The sequence below is a fragment of the Homo sapiens genome, chromosome 11 (assembly GCF_000001405.40).
Source record: "Homo sapiens chromosome 11, GRCh38.p14 Primary Assembly".
In the NCBI taxonomy this organism is placed as follows: Eukaryota; Metazoa; Chordata; class Mammalia; order Primates; family Hominidae; genus Homo; species Homo sapiens.
The window spans coordinates 101,471,712-101,498,759 of NC_000011.10; the positions used below are offsets into that span (position 1 = coordinate 101,471,712).

The 27,048-nt window shown below is 36.6% G+C and overlaps 1 protein-coding gene across 6 annotated transcripts in view; it reads right to left on the minus strand.

The window, feature by feature from the left end:
• The window catches only part of TRPC6 (transient receptor potential cation channel subfamily C member 6), a 132,444-nt gene that overhangs the window by 20,148 nt on the left and 85,248 nt on the right, over window positions 1–27,048 (minus strand). For 5 of the 6 annotated variants that reach the window (XM_047427509.1, NM_004621.6, XM_047427511.1 and 2 more), the window contains exons 3-8: window positions 19,845–20,027; window positions 17,226–17,390; window positions 11,238–11,454; window positions 4,590–4,823; window positions 1,798–2,062; window positions 426–621 (exon numbers count right to left, since the gene is read on the minus strand). In XM_047427509.1, coding sequence (XP_047283465.1) covers window positions 426–621; window positions 1,798–2,062; window positions 4,590–4,823; window positions 11,238–11,454; window positions 17,226–17,390; window positions 19,845–20,027 — 1,260 coding nt within the window. The remainder of the gene's footprint in view (window positions 1–425; window positions 622–1,797; window positions 2,063–4,589; window positions 4,824–11,237; window positions 11,455–17,225; window positions 17,391–19,844; window positions 20,028–27,048) is intronic. The other variant, NM_001439335.1, reaches the window with a different exon arrangement.

Consider the following 27,048-nt stretch of genomic DNA (forward strand, 5'->3'; position numbering starts at 1 on the left):
TTATTTGGGACACAGATCAAGATTTCTGGAATAAAAATTTACACTATTAATCTCAACTTGAGAAAAGGTCAATTTTGAATATCACTCAAAAAAGACTTGGAGAATGATGGTATTCATAAGCAATAATTTTTTGAATAAAATATAAATTCATGCTGATATAGTATTTCTAAAGTTTTTTATTAAATTAGTATCAAATCAGCATTTCTGCTTCTTATGCCTTACGTCTCTGCCCCATGACACCTTACTGATGTTGCATTTGGAAGCAAAGAGTTAAAATTTTCCAGATTACTGGTCAAACGAGTGTATAAAACAGGGAATGAACAAAGGGCGAAGAGCAGTCCATGCTTTCATCCCCATTGCTGAGTTAGCCCTTGGAATAGTTAAAACATGAAGGCACAAATTATAAAAATGTATTGAGATTATACCTCAATTTCCTGGAATGAACTGTTGATCATGGCAATTAACATATTTAGCAAAACAATGACCATCGTAACATTATAGACTCCATAAAGAACGTAACCAATGTTTTCAATGAATTTGTGGTTATAGTTGATGACCACTGATTTCACTTCAGAAAGTCCAAATATAGCCCAGAACAGTGTCTTAAAACTCTCTTCAACTCTGGGGAAAAAATAACAGAAGAAAAGAAATAAGAAAGTGTATAAATAAATAACAATATTACCATAATAAAAGTGAGTTTGTTTAGTGTCTGCAAATTAGTGAGTATAAAAAAAATTCTTCACTTCTCTGAAGCTCACTTTTCTTTTCTGTAAAATGGTTACAATAGGATTGCTGCAAGGATGGGGTAATATTGTGCATATGAAGTACATAATCATAGCTCAATATCTAAATACATAAGCACTCAATAAATGCTATTAACATAATTTCATAACCACAGATATGAACACTTAATCCATAGCGTTGGCAATGGAATTGTTAGAATCCTTTTAGGTTTCCTCCTGATCTATACTTCTACTCATATCCAATAGATAATAATCATATACATCTTAATGGAAAATACAATATAAACAGACAATGTTACCAAAATCACTGACATGTCTTAGGTAGGAATTTCAATGCTTTAGGCCTAATTATTGACCAAAGCTAAGCCAGTTTGCTTAACTCAGGTGGTTTCACTTCCCTGGCAAACTGTATTTTAGAGAAATATGGAAAACAGTAGGCTTACATTTCAGTTGTTGCTTCTTATTATAACACTGAAGACCTAATATTTAAATAATCTATTCCAAACACACTTTATGAAAAAAAAAACACGTGTCCATGGTGAACATAAGTCAAAACTCTTGCCACTATTGATAAGTCATATCTACTCAGTGATAAGATCTGAGAAATTCAATTAGGAAAGTAGCTGTTTTCATAGTTAGCATCCCCAGGAGTGAGTCCCCTGTAAGCAGGAGGGTAAGGGAGTTTAGAGCAACAGACCCTAGAGTCAGCAAGCAAGGGTTACAGCCTGGCTTGTTCCACACACAGCTATGGAATATTCAGCAAATTACTTAATTTTTGTGAATTTCAGTTGCCTCTTGGTGAAATAGAGATAATAAAGGGAGGCATGCAAGGTATTTACCTGGCTCTAAAAATGTAAGTTATTATTTAATATTAGAAAGCTTCCTATATTTTAGAGTCCCTCCAACTCATTTGTAAAATCCCCTCATTTTGCAAAACAGGAACTAGAGATGAAGTCTTTACCAAAACATTATCCCATGGACTTACATAAACGCTGTTAAACTAATATTTATTTAATTTGCAATAACTATCATCAAAATATCTGAGATCACATACGTTGTGAAGGCTTCATTTTGTTTTGCACCAATGTAGTAGGAGTAGAGATTGAACATTCCAATCATAAAGGCCACAAACACCATAATGAATATGACCATGAACTTGAAGATGTCTTTGACTGTTCTTCCAAGTGATATCTGCAGAGGTCCAAAGCTTTCATTTGCTGGTAAAATATAAGCTATCCTAGAGAAACTTAAAACTACAGCAATTGCATAAAGACCTTCAGATATTATTTGAGGATCAGAGGGGTCCCACTTTATCCTGGCTAGGAAAAAGCAAAGACAAAGAGTTGTGTGAGTTTCTTCAAGTTTTTTATTTAGGTAACTTCTTTTTCTGCGAAAGAAATATAGTTATGTTAGAATCCGGTTTTCGAATGGAAGTCTCCTATCTTAAAGGGCTTCTTAAGTGTCTGCTAGAGTTGAGCTTCTTAGTTTATTGAGAACATGACTCTCCTGGTTTACTAGCAATTTCCCATAAGGGGATAGCATAATAGTTAAGAGTTCAGACTATAGACTCAGTATCTGTAAAAATTCATGTATGTATGTACGCACACACACGTATAACAAAGAACTTATGCAAACTACTTCTCTAGTTTTGTTTCCCCATTTTTGAAAATGAGATAATATCCCTTCTAACTCTCTTGTCTTCGTGAGAATTCAGTAAGTCAGCATATGTTCAGCGTTTAGCAAGTGCCTGGCACTTAATAAATGGTAGCGTTTATTATTCAGTCTTAAACTATAATTACACTATAATATAATTTTAGGCTTGTAGCATATTTGTAGTCATTTAAATGTATTAGAAGTAACTTTTATTGGTCACTCAAACAAGTCTATTTTTACCATAAAATGAAGCAATTATTCACTTATGGATTTTTTTGGCATTATTACATCAGGTCATCAAAAATGCAACTAAGAAACCATTATGAAGAAAAACACAAAACAGTGTGTAAGAAAGGGGAAAAACATAATTACAAATTTGTATTTGCTTATTTGCTGAGAAGTGGAATTAGGAGAGGATAACAAGAAACTAATAAAAGCAGTTTCCTTTTTTATAGTGCTTTGAATATAAGTATTATCTACAAATAGCTTTGAATTTTTTTAATTAAGTGCATTTTAAAAAATCTTAAAATTAAACATTAAAATAAACATTAATAATAATAATGGAGGCCTTATGTGATATTGCCAATAAACTCACAAGTGAATGTTAACTAATTTCTTATCAGAGGGTTTGAAATGAGTATTCAAAGGGAATATATTTTCCCCATCCAGGTTTCTACGAGGTGGTAGTCTCCTTAAGTACATAACTGGACCAATTTCCATCCCTTAGTCACTTTCTTCCTGGAAAGCTGGAATGACTTATCTGATTGCTAAATTGGGATGAATAACTGGACATAGTTAGCTCGGCATTACCTTCTCTCTCTTGGGAATTCTCCTCTGGTCCTCCATGGAAGATCTCACTTGATCGGGCACTTGCTGCCATCCTCTTTTTGTGAGGAGGACTGCCCTGGCCCATTGCTATCTAGAAACTGGAGGATATGTCTGCCTAATTCTGGGGTTCAGTATTACTGAATCCATTAGCTAATAGAACTATGTCATCCACCCTGGATTTTATCAGTGTTAGAGGTGATGATCTGGCCTCCATATTAATTTCTTGTTTTATTTCTCAACTAATTCTAAGCCTGGTTGGGAAACAGTGGTGTTATTGATTGGGGAACCTCTCAGAGATCCCAACAATTCCTTCGTTTTCAAATACTTTTTATATATCTTAAATGAAAATGGCACTCAAATGTGAACTTTATTATATATATCTATGGGGCACAACTTGATGTTTTCATATATGTCTGTCTACACTGTGCAAAGATTAAATTAAGCTAATTAACATATTCATCACCTCGAATATTTACATTTTTGTGGTAAGAACATTTAAAATTTACTCTCAGCAATTTTCAAGTATACAGTACAGTACATGATTATTAACTCTAGCCACTATACTGTATATCTCCCTTATTATAAGCTTATTACAAGCTCCCTTATTATAAGCTCTAACTAATAAGTTAGAACTTACTCATCCTATCCGTGTACCCTTTGTAAACTTTGTACCTTTGGCCAACATCTCCCCATTTTGTGCCTTTTACCCCAGCCCCTGACAACCACCATTACCTTCTACTTCTTTGAGTTTGACTTTTTTTAGATTCCACAAATAAGTAAGATCATATACCATTTGTCTTTCTGTGCCTGCCTTATTTCACTCAGCATGATGTCTTCCGAGTTCATTCATGTTGTTACAAATGACAGGATTTTCTTCTTTTAAAAGGTGGAATACTATTCCATTGCACATATATATACACACACACACATGTGTGTACATATACATATATACACGTGTGTGCATATATACACACACGTGTATATATACATATACATATATATGTATACAGAGAGAGAGATACAGAGAGATAGATCAAACGTGAACTATTTTTAATTAAAAAAGAGGGAAAAATAAATCCAGGACATAAGACATGTATTCTCCATGAAGTTTGATAAGTAGCCAATTGATCCAAGAGATAAAGGGAGATGAGTCTTGTGATTAAGAGAGTTTTCCAGGGAGTAGAAAAATCAAATGAAGCAGCAGAAAGCATGCTTCCTCACATATAGATGCTCATTCTTCAGATACAGATGTTGGAAACTCACAAACAATTTTATGAGAATTGTGCAGTAACCGAACTACTACTGACATCTGTTTTACAAGAAAATTCTGCATTTTTATTTATATTGACTGTACTGTAAACTCACCCAAATTGTAGTATTTCACATTGTCTCCCAATGTTACTTTCGTCAAGTCCTTCAAAGTATCATTTGCGTCAATGATGCTCTGGGCTTTGGAAGCATGCCAAAATGCCATGAATCTCGCAATGAATGATGCTGCGAAAATTGCTAACATACCAAAATCAAGCATGTTCCACAACTCAAACAAATATTCCTTGGGGCCCTGAGTCCAGATTTCTTTACATTCAGCCCATATCATGCCTGCATCAGAAAGGGGTTAAAATATCAATTCAATCGCATTCAGCCTTAGCTGTTCTATAAAACAAAATATGTTTGAAAGGTCTCAGCCTGACATTACAAAACCCTTCAAAATTTGGTCCCAACCTGCCGTCCCACCATAATTCCCATATCCTCACAAATATCCTAGTCCAGAAATATCAGTGCATACCTGAAAGCAATTTGACAAAGTTCATTGAACACCTTAAAATAACAAATGTCCTGCTGATCAATTAATTCCACACATAAAAATATATTTAACAGATGTTTATTGTAGGATACTTTATAATAACCCAAACACACCCACACACTCAAAATAGAAGTAAAATGGAAGTGGGACTTCCGCAGATGGAGTATTATCAAGCCATTTAATATTTTATTAATTACCATGGGACAGTGACCATGAGAATGTGTCTCAGTGACATCCAACTACAGGAATTTGATTGATCACAGGCCTCACCTACTGCCTTCTGAAAACCACTGCCACTTTTGTCCAAGGCCGTGTCTCCCCCCGGCTGCTCTCAGCCAATTACTGAGGGTGCCCCTTCTTGGGAGACATGGGACTCTTCTGATGGCTGACTTTGGCTCAAGGATTTCATGACAGCCTTGCCAACCTTTCCTTAGACTGTGTAAAGATCTAGGATGCTTCTACCCAACCTTCCTGCCTGCTCTCTGTCCCTTGGGGTTTGACTTGTATCCCTGCCTGAGAGCCCTTGAGACCCTTCTCAGCTCTCTTGCCATTTCCTCTCACAAGAAATGTTCCTTAATAAAATTCCCATTTCCCTTAATAAACCTGTTGAACATTTAATCTTTGTGCCTGCTTCTTGGAGGACCCGGACTAACATACACTGGAAAAATCTTTATATTGTAATGCTAAGTAAAAATGTTTAAAATGTTATGATGTGTGGTTTATGTTTAAAACCAGCACAGTGACAGCCTAGATGGGATGACAGGAACTTATTAATAGTAGTTGTCTTTTTCTGGTAGAATTATTAATAGTACTGCATATTTCTTCAAAATTTTAACGTAGTATTTAGGAACACTGGATTTGAGATCAGGCTACCATGGATTCGAGAATTTCTTCTTCCATTTGTCAGCTATGAAGTCTTTGATAAGGTATTTAAACTATCTAAAACTCAGTTTGTAAAATGGGAATGATATTGGTTCATTCCTACTTCATTGGATTGTTATGAGGCTTAAATAAAATAGTTCATGTGAAATACACAGCTCAGTGTCTGGCACTTGGAAAAAAGTATGACTAACATTTATTGAGTGCTTACTATTTAAAATTTTCCATGATTGGCACATGTATTTTTTTCTTAATTTGAAGAATCCCACTTTTTTAATTAAAAAGAAGTTGCTTTATCCCTATTAAGATACTCTACTCTGACATCCTGCCTCCTGCTGGAGCCATCTGGAGAAATACAACCCAAACCAACAACTGATCAAAACTTGCCTCCATCAAGAAGTCCTTCACAGCCTCGAGTTGAAAATAATCTTCTCCTCTTACCCTCAGCAACCACCTGCCTCAAATTCTCACATTTGTCCTAAATGTCAGTCACAAAACCTGCTATGTGAATAGCTGCAGAGCCCTGTGGGGATTAAGGAAATGCCCCGTCTCTAATTTCCAAGAGCACGTCATGTGCCTTTTCTTAAAGCCAGCATTAAGTGCAGCATAGAGGACATGGATTTAAGAGAAGACTTCATTACTTATTTTGAGTTGTTTCAAGTTAAGAGGGGACTAGGATTGAATTCATATATAATCTGGGGGATCAAATTTGTAACAGGAAATACGGCAGTTTTTTTCCCCCTACTGTGGTCCCCGGGCTCCTGTCAGCCTCACGAGGAGATGCGGATGGTTCAGAGTAACAAGCATGGGGACTAAAGGGACATTTGAACTCATGCAGTCTAGTTGTTTTCAAAGCTTCCTCCCACTTTTCCATTTTCTTTTCTCTTTCTCTCTTTAAGAAATAAATAGAATTCTTGGCACAAATGATGTCTTCCTGAAGCTTAAAAACTAAAACAAGTGAGCTATTCTGCTTGAAGGAAAAGTTCGTGTCTCATTTGTCCTGAGGACCCCTGAGAGCTGCCAAGGAGAGTTTGAAATCCCGCATCAAGTCCAAGCTTGCCCCAGGCAGGAGACTTCACAGGGATCAAGCCTCTGCTCGTATAGATCTTGCGATAAGGTGCTTAACTAATTCTGAAGGCTGCTCATTCCACTGTTGAATTTTCAGAATATTCCTTCAACGTGGATGCAGTGGTTCTATTTTTGCCCTCTAGACAGGTAGCAAATGAGTCAGCTCCCTCTGCCTTCAAATTTCTTTTTACAAAAAACAACCAAAAAACCCACCTGCGTGCTCATTAAATCTGTTTTTCTCTAGCAGAGGCAGGTTAACCATGAAACTGAAGCTTCAAGATGCCTTTACTTGCCCAGGCTCCTGCTAAGTCGTCACTTTGTCTTCTTTTTCACTAAATGGGGCCCTCTGAATAAACAAGCCTCAGATTCCACTGGGTCTTACACCATGCCTCACCCTCCAGGGTAAGCTTCCCCAGCCCCCTCAAGTGCTGTTCTGAGAACCACTCACTCTCCTAACTAACTGCTGTGCTTGAAACGCTCCTTAGTTTGCCAATTGGCTGCACGTGGCACCCAGGGCCTGCAGATGTGGTCTCGCCATTGGGTAATTACTGCCTGGACTGCCGTCCTCTCCTTCTGTTGAAGAGTCAGCCCAGGACTGCATCTGCTTTCTCAGCAGCTCAGACTGGCCGTTAAGTGACAAGTGCTCCTAAGGCCCTTTTCACTAGTGTCTTCAAGCACGTCCTCCTCCCTGTGTTCCTGCTACATGTCCTACATGTCCTCTCATTGATTTGAGCTCACTGTTCTGCCTTGTCAACATCTCCTAACACATCAGTTTTGTCATTTAACCTTTCAACTTTTTGTCAACTAAAAATGAGATAAATTTGTTTTGTGACTAATAGTGTCATCCTCTCCCTCAAGCCCAGATAACACACCCAACATCTCATCTAAGTAGGCCACTTCTTATTAACATTTCCAGAAAGTACAACTTTCTTTCAAGAATAACTTCAAAGAAGAAAATAAATACCAATGTCAGAAACTGAACCAGGAATCTAACATAGGCTACAAAAGCATCAGCTATCCTGAGTTGTTCATTATTTTCCCTTTAAATAAACAGTGTTAGCTAGTCTCTGAAGTCAAATACAAAGGCTGGTGGGACAAAAGTTACAAGGAAAATGCTTTTGATTAGAGCCTCATTTAATATTCCTGTGTTTGTTAGGTTGCTAAGTGAAAAAGGAAAAAATATATATAAAGTTTAAAATAAAACTGAGACGGCTGGGCACGGTGGCTCACGCCTGTAATCCCAGCACTTTGGGAGGCCGAGGTGGGCAGATCACCTGAGGTTGGAAGTTTGAGACCAGCTGGACCAACATGGAGAAACCCCATCTCTATTAAAAGTACAAAATTAGCCAGGCGTGATAGCTCATGCCTGTAATCCCAGCTACTCGGGAGGCTGAGGCAGGAAAATTGCTTGAACCCGGGAGGTGGAGGTTGCGGTGAGCTGAGATCGCGCCATTGCACTCCAGCCTGGGCAGCAAGTGTGAAACTCCGTCTCAAAATAAATAAAATAAAAAATCAATGAAACTAAGACTAGTATGAGGAGAATAATTTATGGTCAAGAATAAAATGAACATGTTATATAAAATATAACTCACTGAACTCATGCAGTCTAGTTGTTTTCAAAGCTTTTCATTCCTCCAGTTCCAGGCGTGATATTCCTTCTATATTCTCCCTCTTAGAGACTGCAGTCACTACCTACCGGTCCAAGGCAGAACCCACAGCTCCTCCCTTCTGATGTGCAGTAATCACCAAGTGGGTTGGGGTTTACCTGTTAGGGTGCTCTCAAGTTTATACATATTTTATATATAAAATATAATATGTTCATTTTATTCTTTACCATAAATCATTCTCTTCATGCCCCTTTATATAAAATTTAATTTTTAAAATTCTTTACCCCTTATAGAAAATTTAATTTTTCAAAGTTTCATCTTGTCCTAAAACAGTCATGTTTTGCCTAATAGGAAAATAGCACTTCTTGTAAAAGTGACATATAAATGCTCAGTGAAAAGTTGAATAATAATTGTAATTATCTGAAATTTCTTGAACATGTCCGTTGTGCCAAGTACTGTATTATTTACCTTACATATACTAAGACATAAAAAATAAACTATGAGACATGGGCTTTTAGTTTAACAAGATAAAGGCCATGCACAAGTGATTGTTTATTCTTATTTTAAATCAGATATTGGAAGTGAAATATAATTTCTTTTTCTAGTCTCATCAATTAAATTAGAAAAGAAATAGAATAAAATCAAAGCCATCTTCTGTATCCAAGATTTATCATTACTTTGGTGATACAATTCACATTTTATGCCACTATCCATATTTTTCCCTAAAACATATTCAGGAAATGAAGTGATTTGAAAGTTTTGAATAACTCAAATGCTACTGAATTAAATTTAAAATATTCCTATGGTAATTTGAAAAATGCGTCTTAATATTTTGACTGATCATCTCATCAAGCTCCAGCATGAAGCCAAGAAGACATGTCCTGCCTTAGAAGTGATACAAAACTGACTGTCAGTGCTTCTCCAGGTCCCTAGAGAGGGAGGTGGGATGTTGGGGGGAGGGAATGGAGAAGCCTGTGGATTATTAAAGGATTTATATGAAAATCCCTGAGCCTAATTTTCTTTACATCTTGCATATGTTAACCCTACATAATTTTATGCATAGTCAGGGCCTTAAGTACCATCTGGAATTGAGGATGGCTGGAACTTTATTCAAAACCCAAATACTCCCAGGGATCATACTTTCTATTACCGAATGGACATTTCCACCTTGAAATTCCATGGGCACTTCAAAGTCAGTCATAACCTAAACTTTAATCAGCTTTTCATTCCTCCAGTCCCAGGCATGATCTCCCTTCTGTATTCTCCCTCTTAGAGACTGTAGTCACTACCTGCTGATCCAAGGCAGAATCCACAGCTCTCCCTTCTGATGTGCAATAATCACCAAGTTGTTTGGGGTTTACCTATTAGGGTGCTCTCGAGTCCTTTCCCCTATCTCCTGAGTGCCAGGCCTCATCCTCCTCGCAGGGAGCACTTCCATTGAGTCTCAGCCTCTGGACTCTTTAAAGCCACCGTCTATCTCACAACCACTGTGACCTTTCTAAAACATGATCAGATCAAATCACCAATTGCTGAAAAGCATCTTCTAGCCATTTCTCCACCCTTATCTCCCATCACTCGCATCCATAAATGCACCTTGGCTCCTTCTCTGCCTAACTCATCATATTTCGAGTGTGCGAGGTATTGCCATAGTTCCACATCTCTAATGTTCCCATGCCATCCTTGTCTCCCAAACAGGTCTGTTTAACATTCTTTTATCCTCAAAGTACCACATTGAAGATACTGCCCAGGAAGGGCTTCTTGCCCCTTCCATTTCACATCCCACCTCAGATTTAGATGCCCAATCTGTGTATGTTCATAATATCCCAATAACTCAATTATAGCATTTGTCACATTGAATTTTAATTATTGATTTACTTACTGACCTGCCTCCCAGACTTAACTTCCTTGAACACAGGGACTGTCTCATTCACTTTAGTATCCTCGTTACTTAACAAAGGCACTTAACAGCCACTGGATTTATTTATTCATAAATATCTAATTGAAGTATCTTTATTGTTTGCATTATATTTAATGGCAAGCTACATGTATGATTGATTCTAAAGACAAATAGTATAGCAACTAAGATCATATTCCTTCTCTTCCACTTACCACCCAAGAGGCCTAAAGAAAGTTACTTGATCCTTAGATAAATCCTATAAAATAGATGTGATTATACATTATAGACTAGAAAACTGAGGTGCAAAGAAATGATGTGATTTGATGTATATAAAGTGCTTGGAATAATTCTTGGCACAAAATAAATGCTCAATAAATGCAAGTGGCTGTTAGCTTCAATTCCTATCAAATCTCAATGTAAAATTGTGGTTGTGTTTAAGCTTGAAATCATAGCTCGCTCTCAAAATATGAATAGTATAATAGCTTTTTGTCACTGGTGGGATGTGATTGATACTACCCTGTTGGTTTTCTTCCTGGGTTTTCCTTGGAAATGCAAAAGGCGCACAGCATGCGAGAAGACTATGGCACTGATAATGAACCCAAGGCAACTGTACTTTAGGAACACAAAGAAAATTATGATGTGTGGTGCACTGTATCATGCTGCATACATTTGTATAACTGATGTGTGAAAGAATCAGTGTCATTCAGTCCAACTGCTAAGACTGCAAACAGAAAACATGACAGAAAATCAGTCTTTACCTATTACCCAGGATATAATGAGCATCTCCATCCATGAGAAGCAGGATGTTTTCATCCTGAACAGCTGTTTTGCATTATCTGTGCTGGTTTCATTAGGAAGGAGTTTTGTGCCTTCAAATCTGTCAGCTGCATTCATGACTAGCAGTCCCAGAAAAATGGTGAAGGAGGCTGCGTGTGCTACAAACTTCATGAATGGTCCACGCATTATCTTCCCCATCTGCCACAACACACACCAAAATAAAATCTTAACTTTGTTTTGTACACTTTGCAAAACACACATACATACATGCAAGAATAAACATCTGCACATTCCAATGATCTCCTGAGATAATTGTTTATATTTATGTAATTCGTGATAGAGTAATATCTTTATGCTGTTACAAAATTTTGTTCACGTTCCTCACCTACATGTGCTGATGTTCTTGATTAATAACTAAATACATGTATTTTTCTAATAAAGGATATTTAAATTCTTAAAATATATAATATCGTTGACAAAATATAGAGCATAATAATATCAGCATTATTCATATAAAGAAAACTAATTTAGTGGGTCTGAGGTATTGAGGAAGTGGCAATGAAAATATGAAACTGAGTCTACTTTGCCAGGTATAGAACCTTGGTGGGTGTCCTCACATATACTTCATTGACAGGCATGCAATTCAGGCCTGAGTGGATGTTGTTATTTTGGTGATCTTGTAAATGCAGTAAAAGTCATGAGTACCAAGAAGAGAACTCCCAGCTGAGGACAGGGCAGCAGGACAGTTCCTACAGTGTATTGAAACAATCTCCTGGAAGGACACTGGATTTAAAGTCCAACATTTTAGGTTCAGGTTCCAGTTTCATTCCCTCATTAGCTGAGTGACAATGAGCACATTTCCTAAATTATGTGAAAACCAGATTCTTTATATGAAATACGGGGGACAAAAAAAGCTAGTGTGCCTTTTATAGTACACGATTCATCTCTGTCTAAGAGGTACAGATCTTCACCTAGGCAGAGTGAGGATCTAGGATATGACTAAGGGGTCTGGACATCCTCTGAAATGAACAAAACTTAAGCTGTGTGTGCAGTTTCCCCCACCCTTTAGGAGATGGTCCATAGCTTTCAACTGCTTTTCAAGTGAGTTTATTATTACAGAAAACTTTGAAAACTAATAAAATACAACCAACACTTAGTTGGCACTGTTTTAAGTGCTTTACACTGTTAACTTGTAATCATTACAACAATTCAAAAGGGCAGGTGCACTCAAATGCCCACTTTCGATGAAGAAACTGAGGAAGTGAAGTCCAGAAACTTGTTCAAGGTCACATATCTCATAAGTGGTAGAGCTGGAACTTGAACCCAGGCATTCTTGTTCCTAAGTTAATACTTCTATTTGGTTTACAGAATAATTTCATACTTTCTCATCAATGGGCCTACATATGTAAATTATTAGGAATTATCTTTTAAGACTCGGAAAAGATAAATGCTATCATGGAAGGAACACAATCGGTGTTCTCTATTTCCCTACCTTTATTTGTCTATATGGTTTTCAAAATAATAAAACTTAGAGCTGGAACCAATTAACTTATCTTGACATTCTGAATGTTAGGCCAGACACAGAATATCAGGAGATATTGTATTGTATCTCTCTCTCTCTCATGCTATGTGTGTGTGTGTGTGTGTGTGTGTGTGTGTGTGTGTGTGTATGAGTGCAGTTGTCCCTAGGTATCCATGAGGGATTGGTTCCAGGTCCTTCCGTGGATACTAAAATCTAAGGCTACTCACGTTCCTGATATAAAATCATAATATTTACATATAACCTAGGCACATCTTCCCATATACTTTAAATCATGCCGAGATTACTTATAATACGTAATATCATGTAAATGCTATGTAAATTTTTGTTATAAGATACACTTTTAAATTGACATATATTTGTACATATTTATGGGCGGTATATAGTGATGTGTCAATACGTATAACATATAGTGATTAGATTAGGGTAATTAGCATAGCCATCATCTCAAACATCTATCATTTCTTTGTGTTGAGAATATTCAATATCCTGTTTATAGAATAATGCCAAAAGAAGTCTGTACCTGTTCAACACAGACACAATTTTTTTCAAATGTTTTCAATCTGCGGTTTGTTAAATCCGGGGATGCAGAACCCACATATACAGAGGGCCAAAGAATACACACACACACACACACACACACACACACAGAGTTTTAAAGCCAATAGATTCTAGAATTGCAGAGCCAATCCAAAGTTAGTTTGTAAAAGTTTGCTGTAAAAATATGCTTAGATAAGATCACCTACTGAATTGATTCAAGGAGTATTTTTGTTTTTTTTTTTAGATCCTTTTAAAATCAAACTCTCAATCAAACGATGGCAAAATTAAAACAAATGGTATAAAAAGTAAGTTTGATTTTCTTCTGCCTATTGTCCTTTGCTATTTTTCTTTTTAAATATAAATAGTTAAAAATAAACATCAATGTTATATTTCCATGATATGTTTCACATAAAATTTTAATTCTATAATGTTTTATGTATGATTTATTTTAACCGTGTATTAGAGCAAGTGAAAATGTATTGCAAGAATCCATATCTTTCTCATGGGAAAATCCATTATAAATCCTAAACTTTTTTTTTTTTAATTCTCAATTTATTTGACTGTTTGAGGAAACCTGGGATTAGAGGCAATGACTGTTAGTGAAATTCATGAAAAAGTTATTTATCACCTGCCTGGTTCCAGGAAGAATAAGAAGCAGCTTTCAAGGACATCATACAGTAGAGCGTAAATTAAAGTAGAACCAAATAAATAACATAAATAGAAAACACGAGGTTGGGGACATAAAATGGAGTTGAAATAAAGCTATCTACCTTAGAATGAGCCACAAATCTGAAAACTCTGGAACCTTAGTTTCACTGTCCTGAACAACTCTAAAGTCAATCTTCAATTTTCGGGGCAAGGTGTCTGATCTGTGTGCCTGGCCCCTACCTGGCTTCCCTTCTTTCTCCACTGGCCTACTGACCTTTATGTAACACTACTCTTCCTTTATTTTATTCTAAAGGGAGTATCAATCCAGGCATCTTCTTCTGCTTATTAAAAGTCTTAGGGTATTTCTTGGTTTGTTTGTTGGTGTTTTCTTGTTTTGTTTTGTTTTGTTTTGTTTTAGCAATCAAACAAAAAGCTGGTTGCCTAGAAACTAAAATGGGCATGTTTGAAACCTCGTAGCCTTTATTTTTCTTACAAAAGTTGAGAATTGTATTTCTCTTCAAACTGAGGGAGATTTTGGCATCTCTCACTAGACTTTAGGAATTGAAGGGAGTTATCCTTTTTGGTAAAATTTGCCATCTATATACTCTGGGATATAGACAAATTTCCAAAAAATAACTATAAAGGAGGAGAGCTAGATGAAGAAATTGAACAACTTATGTACCTGGAAAATTACTGAGGGTAAGCATTGAAATAAATACTTGTCTTTAAATATGATATGTGATACTCTTTTTAGGTATTTATTGATGACTAAATACCTAGCTACTCAACACCACTTAGAAATGAAAAAGGTTGAGACTAGCTTAAACTAAAATGATTTGTAATTGCAGTATGACTATTCTTATTGTAATGAACAAAAACAATTGATATTTGGATTACAGTAGAAGAAAGAGAGCAAGTAAAAACAAAAGGGATTTCGGAATGGGGAAAGAAGAAACCCAACTTTTGTTTCCTACAGCAAAACCAACTTTAAACAAAAATGGGGACTCAGTCACAGTGCATAGGCCTGCAATTTGATCTTACTGATGTTCATGGATATATTGGAAAATCCAAAATATTTTAAATATATTTGGAATAAAAGCACCAATTTAGCTGAAGCAATCCCCTCCCACAAAAAATCCTGTGGCCTGTAAAGCATATTTATGTTCACTGCAAATGGAAAACTGTAAAATAGATTTTATCATCATGCTTCAAAGATAAAAACAGTAAAATAGGTTTTGGATAGGAGAAAAAAAATACCTTGACAATGTCCTTTTAATTTGATTATTTGCCTCAATGTTCATAAACAAGGATGGAAAACAGATGCCAGAAAGACATATGGCCAGGGAAGAAGAAATAGTAAAGGAAATCAGTTTAATTAGAATTCAATCAAAATTTAAGAAATGTGTAACTCTAAGGATTGCCAAAAATAGTCTGTGTCAAAGCACCAGACACTCTGGAATACATTATGCTTTCGAACACACTGGTTATGGAAAAGGAAAATTATTCAGTTTAGGAAAGAGATTATAATTTAACTGGTCACAGAATGAGAATAGGGAGAATTCAAAAACTCCCCCCATTTTAATTCAGTTAAAATCTCAGATGACTCAGGAAATATAAGGAGAAGAAGAACAAAGAGACTACCTACATAGATATAACCCATGTTCTAGGGAGGACAATTTAGAAATGTATTTGTCTAAATTTAAGGGATACCAGTGCAATTTTGTTACACCAGTATACTGCATAGTGGTGAAGTCTTGCCTTTTAGTACACCAGTCACTCAAATAATATGCACTGTACCCATTAAATAATTTGTCACCACCTGTCCCTCCCCTCTTCTGAGCCCCCACTTTTCTAAGTCTCCAATGTCTATCATTCCACACTCCATGTCCATGTACACACATTATTTTTCCAGGCAAAATCTGTCATTTTTAGTAAAAAGGGAAAAAAAGTCAATTTTCTAGATGAAAATCTGTACTACAGATGTCATTTCTAGTAAATTGCACTATTTTCATTTTATGTTCCTCATTTATATTATGAATCTGAGATACCAAATTTTGGCCTTATATATTTTAAGGGGAAAATATCTATGATGATGGATTTTACTCTCATAAGAAAATGTCCAGTTTCCTGTAATTCCTATCATCACTAGAAATAATTAGGATGTTTCCACTGTCTAAAAGGCTTTGCACAAGCTTTCTAGCATGAGTCATTTTGAACAGCCCTAATATGGCTAAAACACCAAAAATATGACAAAATAATTAGAAAACAATATGTTAGTAATGGTGATGTTTGTGTTTGCGCCCACATATTACGAATGTTTGAAAATGAATCATGCCCATGTTTAAGCACTGGAAGTAACCCAACTGATAGTTCTTTCTACATAGCACATTAATAGATGGTCCAAAAGACATTTAGGCACTAAGCTTCAGAATTATTTCAATCTGCCTCTCAGAGTTAAACAGATCCAGAAATGTGGCTTCAAAAACGTGAAGAATAGGCTTGTTAGCAATGCAAGACACAAATTTCTCTACTTGTTAACAGAATGATAGGTCAATATTTCTCAAACCTATCCTGTCACACTAATGAAAGGCTAGATCCATCTGAACATAGCATTTTTACCAAAGCATGGGTAGATAGCTTTTGCTAAGAAAATAGGCTATTTTTGCTGTCAGGTTCTGGTGTACTTAGTCCCTAAAAAATGTATATTCTTTACTGAAACAAGTATTACATTAGTATTTACATGACTGCCTTTTATTTAAGATTTATCTGGTCATATTAGCTAAAATAAATACAAGACAAAACTTTCATCTCAAATTTTGCCAGAGGAGAAACAGAAAAAGTGTTCATCTTTTAGGATGTCATTTGAAATATATGCTCAATGGTACTATGACCTCATAAAGAAATATAAAAGTATATGCATAGATGTACATAGAGAAAAGAGTAAAAGGAAATTAATATAGTTACTGAGTATCCTTTCACACATTAACAGTGGTGATATTACAGGTGAATTTTATCTTTTCCGTTTTTTTTGTTTCCTATAGCAAACATGTATTACTTTTTGATAATAAAAGCAATACAAATTATTTAAACCCAAACAGGAATTATTTTGTAATGTTAAAAACAATAAAGATTACTGAAACCCAACTGTGATTCCCTGAAATTTTCACTTTGGAGATAAGATTTTTCCCCACTTAAAACATATTTCTAGTAGATAATAGAGGTCCAGGCTTCACATACATACCTTGCTGCATGGAGCAAACCAGTAAATGAGAGCCAGGAAGGGCAGTCCAATGGCAACAGCAAGGACCACAAGGAACTTGACCGCCATTGTCTGCTGTCGTAAACCAGAAAGATTCTCATACCAAATGGAGAGAAGTTGCTGTTGGCAGTTTGGATGAGCTACAAACTAGCAGGGAAGTGACAAAATATTTAAATTTGACTAAAGAAAGGTTCAGCATAAACGATTTTCATGTGTTCTAATAGTTCCATGCTTTCCAATGAAATACATTGTTAGAATTAAAGAACAAACATAAAACATCAAATTAACAGGCAACAAACAAATGGCAAAAAGTTCTAATATGTTTTACATAAATTTGAAGATTTCAATTTATCAAGCTTTTCCTTTATGACAAACAAGCTTTCTTTCAAAGCACAGAAAAAATTTTAATTGAATATTATAAAAAGATTAATCTAAATTTTACATACGGCTTTTATGATTATATAGTTTTTTCATCTAGAAAGAGATCAATATTAACTCAGTTGCCTAAATACTTTTTTAAAAATACCACCTTTCCTGCATTGATCTAAAATGTCACAGAGTTTATACTAAATTCCCGTTTGTATATGGCTCTGTCTCTGGACTGCCTGTTTTATTCTATTGATCTCTCCTTTTATTCTTGTGCCAAAAACTCTTTCACTTAAGAAGACTTTAATTTTCAATATTTTTTTTTTTTGAGGGAATCTTTAAGTTTTCATGTATTTATTTTTACAACTGAACCATACATATGGCAGAGTTAATATACAAAAAGCACTATCCCAAAATAAAAATTGGTAAAGAATATTAAAAAGTTACAATATTTAATATTAATATTAAAATATTACAAAGGACAGGTTATATAGAAGAACTACAAGTGAATCTTAAGGGTGGTTAACCTCAAAGGTAGTTTGAGAGATAGGTAGAAAAGGAGTTGAGTCTAAAACAAGATAGAATGTTTATCTACTCAGAATGGTAAAGTTGGATAAAACCCATTCCACTGTGGGTGGAAGAAATAAGCCCTGTCACACACTGTTGGTGTGTATGGAAACTGGTACACCATTTTTGAAGGGAAACCTAGCAAATGTTTGGAAACCTAAAAATAAAAATTTGACATATTAATTCCACATGTAAGAATTTTTGTTTACGAGTAAAAGTCATGCAAGTAAGCAAGCTATATCAACAAATATGTTTACTGTATAAAAAATAAAAATCTAATAACAAAAATCTGAAAATTATAATAAACATCCCTAAATAGTAAACAGATTATGTGAATATAATGAAGTAACAATGCAACCTTTAAAAAGATAAAGTGGACATTTATTGACTGTTATATAAAGTTGTCCAAGAAAGAAATTTGTGTATAGAAATATAACAATGGTTCATTATTCTCCATTCAGAACTGGAAAAATTGGGAGGAGACATGTTTATACTATTTGAAAACTTACCATAAACATATATTACTTTTATTGGAAAAATCTACCTTTAAAAGCTATCTATCTGTCTATCCATCTATCTATTTATTTTGAGACAGAGTCTCACTCTGTCACCCAGCCTGGAGTGCAGGAAATGATCTTGGCTCACTGCAACCTCTGCCTCCAGAGTTCAGTGATCCTCCCACTGCAGTCTCCCAAATAGCTGAGACTACAGGTGCACGCCACCATACCCAGCTAATTTTTGTAGTTTTAGTAGAGACGGGGTTTCACTATGTTGCCTAGGCTGGTCTCCAACTCCTGACCTCAAGTTATCCACCCATCTCAGCCTCCCAAAGTGCTGGGATTACAGGCATGAGCCATTGTGCCCGGCCAGCTTTTTAAAAGATACCTCACATAATCTAAGAAAGCAGAGAATGGGGCCAGTGCTTGAAGAGAGAGACTAAAAATATTCCACCAATAAAAATGCAGCTGGTGGAAATTCTAATGCGGTAAAGAAGGAATTGAAGGCATTATTGGAAAACAGCAACAAATGGGAAAATGGAGTTGAGTCTCAAATGGTGATGTTCCTGTCTTATAACAAATGTTTTAGAATTTGGATTCATAAAGTCATTGTTATATCATTAGCACAGTAAGAAAATGGCAATCCCTGTAAGATTCTATATAAATACGTCTAGATTTTAAAGACTGGCATTTAGTGTAGGTAGAGTGCCTCACAATTAGTACAGATGCTTATGATTTGTTAGAGAATCTGCCTAGTGCAACTGTTAATTAGAAAATCCTAACCGGGTGCAGTGGCTCACGCCTGCAATCCCAGCACTTTAGGAGGCCGAGGCGGGCGGATCACAAGGTCAGGAGATAGAGACCACGGTGAAACCCCGTCTCTACTAAAAATACAAAAAATTAGCCGGGCGTGGTGGTGGGCGCCTGTAGTCCCAGCTACTTGGGAGGCTGAGGCAGGAGAATGGCCTGAACCCGGGAGGCGGAGCTTGCAGTGAGCCGAGATCGCACCACTGCACTCCAGACTGGGCGACAGAGCGAGACTCCATCTCAAAAAAAAAAAAAGAGAAAAGAAAAGAAAATCCCAGCTTAATCTAACAATATCAACCCTTTATCCTTATTTAGCACCAACAAGAACCAAAATAATGTAAACGGGCTTCACGCCTGACCTTACTTTTTTTACTTCATATTTAATGGCAAGTTTTAAACGGCTGAGATTTGGGCGACCGTGATCACCACTCTGGAGCGTTTCAACATCCCCATTCAGAATGGCCTCGACTTCTTCAGTGTTTCTGCACAGATCAAGGAGTCCAACAACAAAGTCTTTGCACTGCATTGACAGTTTTTTGTAGTCATTCTAGGAAAAACAAAGCAAAACAAAAGCAATAATGGAGAATACCACGTTTTACTATGCTTCAGAGACTTGAAGGATTTTATACTTTAAGAGAAACATTCTTTTTTTTTTTTTTTTTTTTTTGAGACGGAGCCTGGCTGTGTTGCCCAGGCTGGAGTGCAGTGGCACAATCTTGGCTCACTGCAAGATCCGCCTCCTGGGTTCACGCCATTCTCCTGCCTCAGCCTCCCGAGTAGCTGGGACTACAGGCGCCCGCCACCACGCCCGGCTAATTTTTGTATTTTTAGTAGAGACGGGATTTCACCGTGTTAGCCAGGATGGTTTCGATCTCCTGACCTCATGATCCGCCCGCCTCGGCCTCCCAAAGTGCTGGGATTACAGGCGTGAGCCACCATGCCCAGCCGAGAAACATTCTATTTTTAGTTTTACTGTTCATTTATCATATATCAATTGCAGTTTCTGCTGACTGACCTCTAAAATATTTTAGCACATGAAGATTTTCTTCATACCCTCAAAAAGGAAATTTATCTAAAGCATAATCAAAGTTATTTAAAAAAGAGTATGCTGGCCGGGTGTGTTGGCTCCCGCCTGTAATCCCCTCACTTTGGGAGGCTGAAGTTGGCAGATCGCTTGAGCCCAGAAGTTGGAGACCAGCCTGAGCAACATGGCAAAACCTTGTCTCTAAAAAATACAGAAAAAATTAGCCGGGAGTGGGGATGTGTGCCTGTCAAGTCCCAGCTACTCAGGAGGCTGAGATGGGAGGATCACCCGGGCAGGTTGAGGCTGCAGTGATCCGTGATCATGCCACTGTCACTCTAGCCTGGGCAACAAAGCGAGACCCTGTCTAAAAAAAAAAGAGTATGGTGTACCAAACTCACCTGTTGATTCGGAAGAAATATAACCAACTTTTTCCACAGCATGATCATAGGACTTTGCATATATCATCTCCTTCATGGGCACAACTTCATCAGTTAGGCATACAATATACATTTAATAGGTCTTTGGAAGACCTTGTAAACTGTGTTAGTAAACTTGAGGAGCATAGAACATTTGGAAAGTTTCCAGAGAAGAGCAAGTACGTGTCTATTTAACAGATTTTAATTGAAGAACTTTATATGGCAGGCACAGGGTCAAAAGATGAAATCTAGACATAGAGTCTGCAATTTGAGACTCTTCTCTTTAGAGAAAAGAAAGTTTAATGAAACACTGTTGTAGTTTTGTAGTTTGTTGCTGATAATCTAATACTCTATTGGGAAGACTTAAATCATGCAGGTCACATTCAGATTACCGTAAACTCATGTCATGCTTCTATAAGGCATCATTTTATATCTTCATTCATGCTTTTTCTAATATTTCCTCCCTCTATTTTCTTACACTAAGACCACCTATAACCAAATGCTAATCAAGAAAGCCTATTAGCAGGGGTGTTCAATCTTTTGGCTTCCCTGGGCCACATTGGAAGAAGAATTGTCTTGGGCCACACATAAAATACACTAACACTAATGATAGCTGATGAACTTAAAAAATTTTCACAAAGAAATCTCATAATGTTTTTAGAAAATTTACAAATTTGTGTTGAGCTGTGTTCAAAACCATCCTGGGCCTCATGTCCAACCCACATGTCCTTGGGGTGTGGGTTGGACAAGCTTGAGCTAGAGCTTGTTGTATTGCAGGTGGATGGTATTATCTCATTTAATCTTTACAATTGCTCAGGTTGAATTATGTGTCCAAAATCATGCAGCTAGTAAGCACCAAAATCGAGCTTTAAACCTAAATCTGCTTGGCCCCAAGCCTTTTGCCTTTGAGATAATGCCACTTTATCTCTCTTATTTGTAGAGTACTTTTCTACTTTGATTTTTGAAACAACTGAGGGGGCAAGCTGGGCAAATACCGTTCCCATTTTGCACATGAAAAAACTAAGGTTCTCACACAGCTTCAGTGACAGACTTTTCTCTTAAACCCAGAACTGCAGATTTAAAGTTAGTTGTCTTCTCTTCCTGAAACCAGTGTGTTGTAGGATGAAAAGATTTCTTTGGAAAGTTCAAGAGAAATGTATGTGATTCTGGATGTCAGTCAATAAGGCCATATGTGGGGGGTGTCTGTATGGAGAACAGCTTAATACTAGGTATGTGTAAGGTACCTACTTGGGCTCCTTTCTGTAAATTATGCCAAAAGTGAATATCATTGCAGTTTAGTAACTATTAAAGAGGCTACAATTTGCTAAACTGCAGGTCCAAAAAGATTCCAGAAAAGCAAATTAATAAAGCAAATTGTGTCTTACCTGAGAATGGCTAGTTGAGAATGGCTCAAACTACTTATAAACAGACGTCTGGGCAGATAGCATCTAGAGTGTTACAAGGAAACGGCTTTGCCCATTTTATAAAATGGTCTGTTAGGGCCATGCGGACGAACTCTTAGATTTGGAGGTACATATTTGTCCATGTCCACTATACTATAGTATAGTAGTTACGACTTGGTAGTTTAGAGCTGGATATACCTGTAATCAATCCCAACTCTTCTACTTACGAGCCATGTGACCTTTAATATGTTAGAACCAGTCTATGAAGTAGGGGTTCTTATTACTCTCATTTTATAGGTAAGAACACTGAGGCTTAGTGAGATTAAATAAGTATTAAAGAGATTATGCATGCCAAGGACTTAGCAAGGTTGTGAGCATTTAGCAAGCATTCGATAAATTGTAACTACTTTATTTTATATCATCAAAGAGAAGATCTGGAAACAGGCCATCTCTTGACATTAAAAAAATACCATGGAGCTGAGACAAAATTTAACGCACCTGGCTTCTCTTGAATGTAGAGTTCAAGTATAGTGAATTCTTAGTCCTTTTAAAAGCAACAAAGTAATTGTCAAAAGCAGTGCTCTCTAGAATTCTAAGAAAGCTCAGATATATTTAGATATTTGAAAAGAAAGTATGATCTTTCAAATGTAGGTAACACTTTTTTAAAGCAGAACCCACATGGACTGAAAAAGTAAAGTGCAAGAGCTTTGTGGTATTTAATAACCTTAATCTATAAATTTTTGTCCAATTCATCACTAATTCCTAAGACATTTTCTTAAGCAAAAATACCTATTTAAAAAGGAGAGAGAGAAAGAAAGAATAAGACTATGATTTCAGAAATACACACTTTTTCTACTTGGGAAATCATTTACAAATATTTTCATATTTTCAGTTATTGACATTACTATTAACTCATATTTTAAGTAACTGACATGTGAACTCACTCAAATAAAATGTTGGTGGTAGCTCATTAGCCAGAATGCAGCTCTATGATTTTGGTTCCTTGAGAGGAAAAGTGAAGCTGATGGGTTAACTTAATTCTGGGTCATGTCTTTGGATCACACACCTACACTGTACATTCATTCATTAATCAAATATGGGTGCTTGCCTATTAACCTTTGAAAAGTTGAAAAGAGATAACTCACAGTGGGCTAATGAAACACAGTTTAGAAACTATAAAAGATACCCGTTAAAATGATCCTTTCGGAAGTTCCTCTTAGTTGGATTTTAAATAATAGATGTTATGATTTGTGATTTTAATCTCTGGCTCTTCTTTCTATATAAAGAATGAAGTTTACTTCATAGAAATTAACAGTGTAGAGAAAAATGCATGTCTTGATTCTCAGTAATCTACTATGTGGGCTTTGGAGATGGCAGACCTGGGTTTGAAACTTACTAGCTATGTGACTTTAGATAAATGATATAGTATCTTAAAGCTTCTAACCCTAATGTTTAAAAAGGGAATAATATTAGTACCCATGAATTAGTGTTGCTGTGAAGATCATACAAGACAATGAATGCCAAGTTCCTGGCACAGGGTAGTGCAGATCAATGGTAATTATTATTATTATTATTATTATTATTATTATTATTATTATTATCATTGTTTTCATTATTTCACAAACAGTATCTAGCTCTTTGCAGTCCCCATCACAAAGCTATGCTATCATATAGAAAGTCATGTTGGAATTCCTGGATATTATCTGCAGGTGTTGGAAATAAAACAATTATTCATATATTTTCACAACAAATCTTTTACACACAGCACTGAGATAGATACCACTCTCTTATTAAGATGGGAGTTTGTAAAATAAGATTCTACATGTGAGGAGTAAGCATATTAGTCCCTTCCTCTTTCTCACAGTCAGCAATAGAAGCATTGACACTCAAGAACTACCTGAGACTGGGTAATTTAGAAAAAAGAGGTTTAATTGGCTCATGGTTCTATGGGCTATACAGGCTTCTGCTTTTGGAGAGGCCTCAGGAAACTTACAATCATGGCGGAAGGCAAAGGGGAAGCAAGCACCTTCTCCATGTGGCAGCAGGAGAGAGAGAGAGAGAGAGAGTGAAGGGAGAAGTGCCACACAGTTTTAAACCATCAAATCTCATGAGAACTCACTCACTAGCATGAGAACAGCAAGAGGAAAATCCATCCCCACGATGCAGTCATCTCCTACCAGGCCCCTCCTCCAATTCAACAAGAGATTTGGGCAGGGACACAAATCCAAACCATATCAGTAAGAAAAGTGTATTATACTATGATATATACAGTGTTGCATTGGCCAACCATGCTTCTTGGGACCAAGTGTAACTCTGGGGCTCTTCTGCTCCTCAGGATAATTGTCACCAGATGGCACACTGATCATGGAGCTCTATGGTGATGATTAACAAGCATTTATAAAGCATCTACTATGTGGGGTTGTGAGGATATAAAAGTTAATCGGCACTATTCTATAGAAAAGGTAAAAAGAAATGGAATACAATTTCAAAACAAGAATTGAAGAAAAACATTTTCCTAGATATGTCAGCCTTTTTCTATTGATTGTTGCCATCAGCAGTGGCTGCTTAGTTAATATAGTGTTTGGTTATATACACTTAGTATAATGTCTGGTTAGCTTTTACTCTTCCCTTTGCACAAGAATTTTCAGGTCCCATTGAAGCTACGAAGCTTGGAGAGCGGCGATGAAGGTAAACAGATTGTTTCAGGGGCTGGGGTTGCTCATCAATCAAACTGTTGCACTTAACTCCCTCCCTAACTGTTGACTTGTCATAGACCTACAGTCCTGTGAGAATGAGATTTTCTCTGCCCATCTGTTTCAAACTACAATAGGATATTCAAAGGCAAGAACACACATACACATACCCCCATATCACTTACTGCATTTATTTGTTTATGTTTCTGCCTCTCTTGAATAGACTCAATATCCTTCAAGACAAGGATTATATCTTAGTCGTCTTTGAATCCTCCCAACCTAGCATGGTGTGAGGTACGTAGTAGGTAATCAACACATTTTGCTAACCGATGTAAAGAAAGGAACATAGCTGAGTAGAAAGCATACCTGGATTTGAATTTCTGCCCTGCCACTTATATAACTATATGATCTTGAAAAGGTTATTTCATTTGCTGGCCTTCTCCTAATTTCACGTCATTATGGACAACTTAAATTCTGCTATAGCATAGACTGTAAATAACAGAATAATTCATAAAGCTCAGCTAAGGTACACTTTCTTCTTCCTCTTTGGTCAGGATCCAAGTCCTGTTCTTCTGGAGCTGTGATTCTGCCTCGCAGACTATTTTGCTTGTGACACCCTTTGTCACCCTGTTAAGGTCTGATAACAGTCACACCACCTTTGTCCCAACGAAAAGTACTTTTCAAAGCAGCCATTTTCTTGGAGGATAGTTATCTTTGAAACAATGCCAAGCATTTTTTGAATATTATACACTAGAACATAGCAACGGTCTAAAAACAGACACGGCGGGAGTTTCTCTACCCTTCCTCTTTCTCAGTGTCAGCAGCAGAGGCATCTGGAGGGCCATGTGCACATGCATGAGCAGACCTCTAGGAAGATGTAAAGGAGCTGGAAGACCTCCAGAAAAACTCTCTATCCAGAATGACAGAGAAGAGGACAATTCCTGCTATATAAAAGAGGGGATTTTTTTTCCTTTATTTTTTATTTTAAGTTCTGGGATACATTTGCAGAACATGTTGGTTTATTACATAGGTATACATGTGCTATGGTGGTTTGCTGCACCTGTCCACCTGTCATCTAGGTTTTAAGCCCTGCATGCATTATTTGTCCTAATGCTCTCCCTCCCATTGCCCCCCACCCCCTGACAGGCCCCGGTGTGTGATGTTCCCAAAAGAGGGGATTTTTAAGAGGAATAAAAAGAAACATTGTGTGTTACTACAAACAACCTAAAAGGTAAATAGGTTCAAAAAAAGAGGGAATTAGAGACATAAGTCCTGGGCACATATTGAGAACTAAAATGAAATTAAGAATGCTGGGGAATGTGTTTGTGGACAAGACCATCCCTGGTATTGATCTCCTTGTCTTTAAGTCTGTTGTCCCTTATTTGAATTAAAACTCAAGTCAAGGAGAGAAAGCAAGAGTTTTTGCTGTCCTTCTTTGGTATCAAAACCAGTCAAAGTTTTGGGTTTTCTGTTTTTTACTGACTTTGTGTTGCCAAAATTGTCTTAACCCAATTTTAAGCTTAAGATGGCTGAGGTCTCATGCTACCAAAGCCTAAAACTATTTATAAAGATTCAATATAAAAACTGAATTTGAATGGGTAAAAATTGTATTAATGTTTTCTCCCATTTTCTTTAAAAACCTGCAACTCCCCAACATCTCTTGGTTTTCTTCTTGTTCCTGTGGCTCCATCTAATTGTTAGATTTCTCTGCTGAGGTCTCGTGTCACCTCTGCTTGGAACCAGCTATACATGTGGTGATATGAGTAACAAAACACTTAGGCCTAGAAGGTTCAAGGCACAGGATAAAACTGCCTCAGAAACCCAGTAACGTCTCCCATGGTCTCTTTTGTTAATGTACTATGGGTTATTGTAGTAGGGGACAGTTTGGAAGGTGCTTAGAAAAGCAAGCTATGTATTGGAGCTTACAAAATCGTTATGAAAAGTCCCATTCTCTGTCATAAAATAGATTAATCGTCTTCAAACAGAGGTACATTAATACTTTCCAAGTGGCTGTAGAATATGGATAATTTTT